The sequence below is a fragment of the Homo sapiens genome, chromosome 4 (assembly GCF_000001405.40).
Source record: "Homo sapiens chromosome 4, GRCh38.p14 Primary Assembly".
Classification (NCBI taxonomy): Eukaryota; Metazoa; Chordata; class Mammalia; order Primates; family Hominidae; genus Homo; species Homo sapiens.
The window spans coordinates 108,365,311-108,373,914 of record NC_000004.12 but is presented as its reverse complement, the minus strand read 5'-3'; the positions used below and the strand labels follow the sequence as shown (position 1 = coordinate 108,373,914).

General features: G+C 42.6%; 1 long non-coding RNA gene across 1 annotated transcript; it reads right to left on the bottom strand.

Annotated features, from left to right (window-relative positions):
- Nucleotides 1-1,310: 1,310 nt before the first annotated feature.
- Nucleotides 1,311-8,265, bottom strand: LOC124900753 (uncharacterized). The gene is made up of 2 exons (XR_007058222.1): nucleotides 7,490-8,265; nucleotides 1,311-2,188 (listed from the first exon to the last, which is right to left on the bottom strand). It is a non-coding gene; the product is annotated as an uncharacterized LOC124900753 (long non-coding RNA).
- Nucleotides 8,266-8,604: the final 339 nt, after the last annotated feature.

The window sequence follows — 8,604 nt, the reverse complement described above, 5'->3', positions numbered from 1 at the left end:
CCAATTTAAATGACTAATTATTTAGGTGTCCTATGCCAAGTCAACATAGCAAAAATAAGAGAGTTCTGGTAATTAGTTTTACATATAAATTGTGTAGAATCAAACCAAACCATTTAGGCCTTGGAGTGACTGTTAAGAAGCTAGACTATTAACATTGATTTTCTATTCAGGATCGAAGTCATTTGTTTGTACTCTAAGGCATTGTGCTGATATTTGGCACAGCAACTCTGTTTCTAAGACATCTGCCCCCCAGGGACTTGAATTTAGCCCGAAAATGTCCTGGCAAGCAGTCTCATTGTAAGACTTACACAGAGAGAAAGAGAAGTAAGTTTGTTCCAGTGATTGTCATGAAAGACACATAAACGTCTTGATATTCTTTCTTTTACCTGTTGTAGAAAGGGGAATTGTTTGCACCTTAACTTACGACTAGAAAAACGATGTACAAATCCTGACCCACCTGGCTGCTTCAGTCCACAGGGCGGGAAGTAAGAGCCAACTGTAGAGAGATGATGGCCCCTTCTCAGGGGGACTGATGGTAATCCCTTTGAAACTGCCTCATGGGCAGAGACAAATACAACATGCAGAGGTCGTGCTACTTCTCAGGCCTGACCCTGGAGAAGGGCTCGGGTAGAAGGAGCATCCCGTGTGTCCTGCATCTGCTCCAGCAGCAGTGCGGCATCCGTACTTGGTTACCGGGTACAGCAAAATTAAAAACATCGGGCTGGGTCAAAATGGGGGAAAAAAAACCACTCGCATTAGCAAACTCTTCGTCTTTTTATGTGGTAAGGAAATCTAAGATCTAATCAGTATGCTTAATTGAAAGGCTCAGTGAGGGGGATCCTGCAGATCTTCTCCCTGCCATTAATTTGAATGCTAGCCCTCTTGCGGATGTATTGACAGAAGTGGAGGTGATGCCATTTTGAATCCTGCGGTCCCGTGGAAGGAGGCTGAAGCACTGTCACTGCAAAAGTCACTGTGCAGCCAGGTGCCTGGTGGAGCTTCCTGTGGCCTCACACCTGTTCTCCTCAAGAACTTTCAGTCTCTGCCTCTGCCCACTTGCACCTCACACTGCTCCTCCTTCTGCCGAAGGAGGAAGACTTGGCCTGCTGCTACCTCCTGACCCACAGCTTTCAGGAAGCCACATGCTTAAAACCATCTGACGATGAGGGGTTGGGGAGGGCAGAGACACAGGCTGGGGAGGGCTGGGGAGGGCTGGAGAGGTTGGAGAAAGGTTGAGAAGGTTGGGGGTTGGGGAGAAAGTGAACCCATAGAGCAACAGCAAGAACTGCCTTTAAAGAAACACCACCTAGTCTTTTCTTCTCCTTTATTTATTTTTCTAATTATTTTTGAGAAACAGGGTCTCGCTATGTTGCCCAGGCTGACTTTGAACTCCTGGGCTCAAGCAATCTTCTTGTCTCAGCCTCTCGACCAGCTGGTACTACAGGTACATGCCACCACATCCAGCTAATAATTTTGTGTAGAGATGAAAGTCTTGCTATGTTGTCCAGGCTAGCCTCAAACTCTTGGGCTCAGGCAATCCTCCTGCCTCAGCCTCCTGAGTAGCTGGGACTACAGGCATGAATTACCACGTTCAGCTTTCTTCCTCTTTATTTTTGCAATTTTGTGGAATGCTCCTACTAAGTGCTAAATTAGAATTTGCCATAATATTCATTTAGGTGCCGCTTTGGTGCACAGTACTTGCTGTTACACAGGATGAGCTTCCTTTTGTGGGAATTAAGACTTTAATAGTGTCTCCTTTGTGCTTTCACCAGTTTAATGCCAGAGCCAAGCGTAATTATAGTGCAGGCTGTTAATGGATTAGGTGGTGGCTTTTGCCGCCTTACTGTGTGCCTGTTTTCTTCCATTTGGCTTTGTGCTGGCTCCCATCATCTCCTAATTATCTGTTCCCCTCCTTGCTTGACTGCCTTAGAAGTTATAAGGGTATTATCTGAATCCAAATTAAATTTCTTTTTTCTTTAAGGAAATGAAAAAGAGAGGTTTGTTTTTTGGTTTGGTTTTGCTTTGTGTTAGGAGTAGCACACTCTATCCAGAGTAATCGAACAGGAAAGACATATAAAAGCATCTATGGTGTTCAAGCTTTATGAAGCCAAGTAAGCTCAAGTCAGCTCCAGCCTTGCTTTGGATGCAGTGGGCATATTCAGTCTCTTCTCCACCTCAGGGTATCCACCTGGAAAAAAAAAAATGAAATAATCACACTTACCAATCTCAGCATGGCAACTGGTAGATTTAACAGTGCCCTGAAAATGAGAATCCTCTATTTAATGAAGCATTTTATTCAAAGGTTCATTTGGTTAATAAAAACCCCATTTTTCACTTGTGTTTGAAGCTAGTCCATTATTCTTTCACGTGTGGTTTGAACCAGTTTCCCGTGAGCTGTGGTCGCTCCTGAGGATGGATATGAATGGCACTTATTAGGAAGGGAAGAGCTCATGAATTCAGATCATCCTTAATGCTGAAATGAGCTGTAATGAAGCCCCGAGATCAAAGTGCTTGAGGAGCAACAGCAGATGAATGGGCCACGGCGCTTGGGTCTGGGTTGCTGTAGAAAAGGATTAGGAAACTTCGCTTAAGTAGCCAGAAAGGTTTCCACAGGCTATCATGCTACGCATTTAATTGTTTATGGGATTTATGGAGGAAAGACACTTTTAACAGATATATAAATAGTCTCCCCCAGAGAAGACAGTGTTAGCAGATATTTTCCACGGGGAGAGAAAAGGCTGTAAATTAGCAGCAAGAACAGAAGCAAGGCCATTCTTAGCTCCTAGGGAGGAGGGAGAGGGAGGCCAAGGGAGGAGTGCAGACCCTGACCTAGAAAGAGGGGATGACACGGAAAGGGGAGAGGAAAATGCCACCCTTCCCTCTAACCTTCAGCGTAAGCCTAGACTCTCCTTCCAGGGAAAAGCAAATCCCACTTTTAAAAAAATACTGAACATGAAGCACAACAGAGCGCCTGAATTGCAGTGAGGGTCCCTCCCTGCCACGCTTGAGCGCAGCAAGATGCAGGGGGAATGGAAAGCAGATGCAGGGGCATAAGTGCTCCAGCGAACCACTCTCCTCCTCGAAAAGATGTCAAGGATTATTTGTGCTACCTCTCTGGAAAAAGCAGAGACATTCTCTTAAAGGATGAATGAAAGATGAGTACAAAGAGTTAATTTGAAACCAATCAAGCCCTGTGTTCGTCTACTGCTTCAGAAATCCTTCTATTTAATGATGAATTTATTTTCAAAGCAGTGCCGATCCTTTTGAGGGGAATTCCACCTCTCACAGCTGCACAATCTGCCCTGCAGTGTTGAGCTTTCTCGCCCACCTGCTCTTTGTAAAGCAGCGTGGACTTCCCAGAGCTGAGACTGTGCCAAGCCGGCTGAGCCCGCCGAAGAGCCATCGTCAGCCTCCCGCCACCAAAGTGTCAGTGAATCCACACACCACAAACCCCTGCAAAACAGGCAAAGCAACTCGGTGGAGCCGCACGACCACATGGCAAAGCCACAGGCTCCCTCTCGCCTAGCAAAAGACCCTATTGAATTTTCTATGGTTGATCTGTTAACCTAACTTGGCTTCCCCCGCTGCCCTGTTCAAAAGCAACTGCATTCAAAATATTACTTGCAAAATTTTTAAAAAACATCGCACCTGAAAAACCCTAAACAAAATTCCCATTTCATATTCCAAGTACAACTCCTGAAGAAACTGGAAGGTTTGATCTACTTTAACTGGGATGGTGCTGACATGTTTGTTTTGAAATAGCACCTAGCCACGACTTTAGAAGCTCCACTTAATAGCTTTCGGTTCCTTTCTTTCTTCTTCGTCTTTATTCAAAGACACCTAATTGTAATTTTCTGAAATTTAAATATAGTTGCTATGCATTTGGTTATCAACAAACAATTCCTAGATTAATGCAGAAACACATTTAATAGGGCAGAATGCTATCCCTTTGTTTCTTTGAGGACATCCGTAGTTCTATTAACTAGGGGGATTATAAGATCTGACACTAGGCAGTGAAAGGAACCCTGTTCCCCTCTCTGAAAAGATTTCTCCTTTGTCAAGTCGTCTGAGATCCACTAGTACTTATTTCCCTTAGTAAAATGGAAACATTGTACCAAATTACCAATTTTATAATGATGATTCATTGGAAAAATGCACAATTTGTTCTAAATGGAATTTTATAAAATGGACATTTGGCATAACTCTTCTTTTTTTCCCTCTCAACCTCAATACCTAATTTTTCACATCTTTATAGTTCTCTCAGAGTTGACCAAGAATCTCAAAATGAGCTGATAAATAATTGGTGTGCCTGCCTTGGCAGTAACAGCCATAGCAGTAGTAATGATGGACTAGAGACAGGGCACTGACTTCTATGAGGCCTCGTTGAATAAGATTTGGTATTATCACCCTAGAGCATCAAAATTCTTGTGCTGTCTTTCTATGAGTCTTTGTTAAGACTGTGAATAAGACAAAGATCACTGTTTATGCTACAGCAGCATATAATTTAGAAATCTACAAAATGCAGCTCACAAGTGTTACTCAGACAGCAATTTAAAGATTTTCAGGAAGAGAGCACGCTTCCATGAAATATACAACATGTACCTACTGAATAGACAGGGCCTGCATACCCCCAGGCATACTCGTGAGAAACTGAATTTTCAGGATTCCCCCTTTAGTTCTCATCCCACTTCCAGCCCTACTGTTGCGGTGGACTCACTAGTGATTGTCCTGTCTCCCCTGCCTGCTGCCAAGTTGGTAAACTCTACAGACACAGTGTGCTGCAGAGAACATTTCCAGACAACAAGAGAAATAGCTCCGTGGCACACTCTCACACTCTCCTTCCCTTTGCCATGCCCAGGCAAAAGCAGCCTGCTTAAGACTTAGGTTTAAGACACAAAGCAATCGCCTGGATCAATTTTCCCAAATATGTAAATATATTCTATTATTGATGCTTAATTGCTTCCTACTGAAAATCTAAAGCAGAATCAAATAGAAAGCTTATAAATTCTCATAGTGAACCTCCTCTAATTCTGTCTCATACACAGTCTATTTGTTGGAGGTGTAAATAAACAAGCCCTCTGACTCCCAGTGCAATTCCTTCATGGTGTACTGTGAACTAGGAAATCATTCTAGAAATATCAGAGCAACAGTTTGGAGTTTTGCCCCACCTCATGTGCCCCCTCCCTCTCAAACTTGTGCTATGAATTTGTTGTTGTTGTTGTTGTTGTTTTGAACAGAGTCCCTCTTTGTCACCAGGCTGCAGTGCAGTTGCGCGATCTCTACTCACTGCAACCTCCACCTCCTGGGTTCAACGATTCTCCTGTCTCAGCCTCCTGAGTAGCTGGGACTACAGGTGTGTACCACCACGCCCAGCTAATTTTTGTATTTTTAGTAGAGATGGGGTTTCACCATGTTGGCCAGGATGGTCTCCATCTCTTGACCTCGTGATCTGCCTGCCTCAGCCTCCCAAGGTGCTGGGATTATAGGTGTGAGCTGCCGTGCTCAGCCATGAATGTTTTAAAGATCTGTTTATGCGTGTTTGTCTAGACTGGATTGTCCACTGTGGTAACCTCAAAGCCTAGCACAGTGTATTTTTTGAAGTGGAATTGTGTTGCTTCCCAGCATTGCGCACCTCCCCTCCATTGCAGAGCAGCTTTGTGGTTTGTATGGGTTTGCCTACCTCTCCTCCAACTCCAAGGAGTATGATCCTGATTTCCTATCCACAGTGACTGGTTTGAAAAAGAAGGCACATGACCTAAGCTGGTTCAACAGGAGTGAAGCACAGACCTTTGTTTGCTGATTTGAGGATAAATTCTTCCAGAGGGAGGAAGAATTTCTGAGAGTGAATATGAGCTGCAAAGTAAGACAGCCATTCTTCTACCAGGAGAAAAGCCAGCCTGAAAATAAAGGTAACACCCAGAGGAGAGCCAGAGATGAGAGAACTGTAAAAAATCAGAGTCCTGATCAGACCATTCCTGAAGATTGAAATCACCCTGGACTTTCCCATTTACGCCTCCCAACAGATTATCTTTAACAGACTATCTTCAGCCACCATGAACTCAGTTTCAGTTATTTGCAATCAAAAGCTTCCAAACGAACACAAAAAATGGTTCAATAAATATTTTTAAAATGATTACATCATTACATATAATTTAGTCCACATTAAAATATAACATTATTAATCACCACATTTCTGTTACTAAAGTTTGTGTCATCAGCATGCTCTAGAACTGAATCTGAAAATCCCAGGCCAGGTGCAGTAGCTCACACTTTGGGACGCCAAGGTGGGCAGATCACCTGAGCTCAGGAGTTTGAGACCAACCTGGGAAACACGGTGAAACGCTGTCTTTACTAAAAATACAAAAATATTAGCCAGGCGTGGTGGTGCATGCCTAAGCAGCTACTTGGGAGGCTGAGGCAGGAGGATTGCTTGAGCCCAGGAGGTTGAGACTGAAGTGAGATCTGATCATGCCACTGAACTCCAGCCTGGGTGACAAAGTGAAACCCTGTCTCAAAAATAAAAAAAAAAAAAGAAAAAAAATCATCAAGTATTGGAGTTTTCATCCAACAGACCATCGCTTAGTGAGTTTATGAACAGAAACATAGGCTATCAGTCCCTGAAAATTTCCTATATGCTTCCATAGAAATGAAAGATATAACATGTACTCACTACATAAACATGAAGTGAGACACAGAGCTTAAAATTGTTACAGTTAAAAAAAAATTAATCCTCTAATTCATCGTGAGGAAGACAAGAACGTCTCCAAAACAGCAATGGATTTGTTCTAGGTCCTCCATCCTCTCACTTGGTCTACAGTGGCCAATGACACACAGCTGTGAGGTAGCTGGCCAGGCTACAGACTGGCTCAAAGCCCTCTAAAGACCATCTCCAGGTAGAGTCAGTTAGTCCTTCCACAGGTGCTAGTACTCAGAGGAGAGCCAGGGCTGAGAGAAAAAAGCAGAGCCCTGATCAGACCATTCCTGAAGACTGAAATCACCCTGGACTTTTTCATTTATGTCATCCAACAGCTCTATGAGGGCAGGGACTTGACTTACTCTCTGCTGTGTCCCAGTGTCTAGTATGTGACACACAGTATGTACCTGTGTGTGTACAACTCATGACACATAGTGGGCTCTGAATAATTATTTGCTGGATAAGTGAATGATGAGAATTTATGACGGGTCTCCTTTGCACTAGTCTTATTCTATGCTTCATACAACAAGTAGGAGGAAGTGCAAGAGATAATTGAGTTAATTTTGGGTTTTCCCCCAAGCTCCTCTTTGATCTTTTGGACATTCATCAGATTCCTGCATCCATCTAAGCTCTCTTTAGGATGCTGTTATACACCCTTAAGGAATTTTTTTTTCAACAGAAAATATGCACAATCTGCTTGTAGAGAGAGAAAAATCAGGTGAGTCTTTAACCTAAGGAACAAGATGTAAATAACCTTGTTTTGCTAATTGTGAGATTTTAGAGAAGTCACTTTACCTCTCTGGGTCTCAATATCTTCATCTTTCAAAGGAGAGAGTTGAACTGGATGAGTAGCTTTTTGAGCTGTATTTGATAGAGCCACAGCATTTTCTAGAGTAAAAAGAGACGAGGCAAGGCCAAATGGGCAGGGTCTGGAGTCCTCCACTCCCCACATCAACAGAAAGGATTTCTGAAGTTCACTGCCTGGCTTCAAATCACAGCTCTACTATTTACTAGCTGTGTTATCTTGGCAAGTTAATTTTTCTGTTACTCAATTTCCACACCTGTAAGTAGAGATGACAATAATACTTTTTATAGGGTTATGGAGATTAAATACATTAGTATAAATAAAACCTCATACACAGAAAATGCTATATAAATTTTGGATATTATTGGTTTTATATATTGGAGTTCCCAATAGTGTTTGGGTTTAAAGGATTTAAATGTCTTCTGCTTCTAACAAAACAAAAATACTTAAAATTTTAAGATGTTAAGGGTCTTTAATTAGGATGTAATAAGGAATACTAATTACACAGGGTCTGTGAGACTGACATTAACCTCTCCAGCCACGGCCCCATCATTGTCATCAACACCACACCTCCCCACCGCCAACCAGACTCTCTCCAGCGTCTTTAACTCAGCACAATGGGCTGCTGCCACTCATGTGAGCTTGCTTTTTCTTCTGAAGATTATTCTGCAGTTCCATTCAAATGGCCTCTGTATAGTTGGGCGTCTGATGCCTGATGCTAGACAGAGAAGGGCTCCGTGGCTAATCGCCTACATTCCTGTGAAGACTGAAGGAAAAGATAAATTTCGCTAACAGTCAACATTTCAGGGAAGGCATTTTTTTTTAACAGAAAATGGTAAATATCTGAAAATATAGAAACCTCAGGCAGTTTGAAATTTGCAAGGAAGGAGTGCCTGGCAGTTCAACTGCTTTAAAATTCCACTTCCGAAGATACCATATGAATCTAAATAAAACCTGAATGATTATGGTAATTATTCACACTAATAACCTTGCTCTGAAACTTCTTTATCAGTGCTTTTACTTCCAGAATATCCTAAGGATTGTGAGACATTTCTTTCCTTCTCTTACCTATGGAGGAAGATTCAGGTAATTGACATCATTCTCT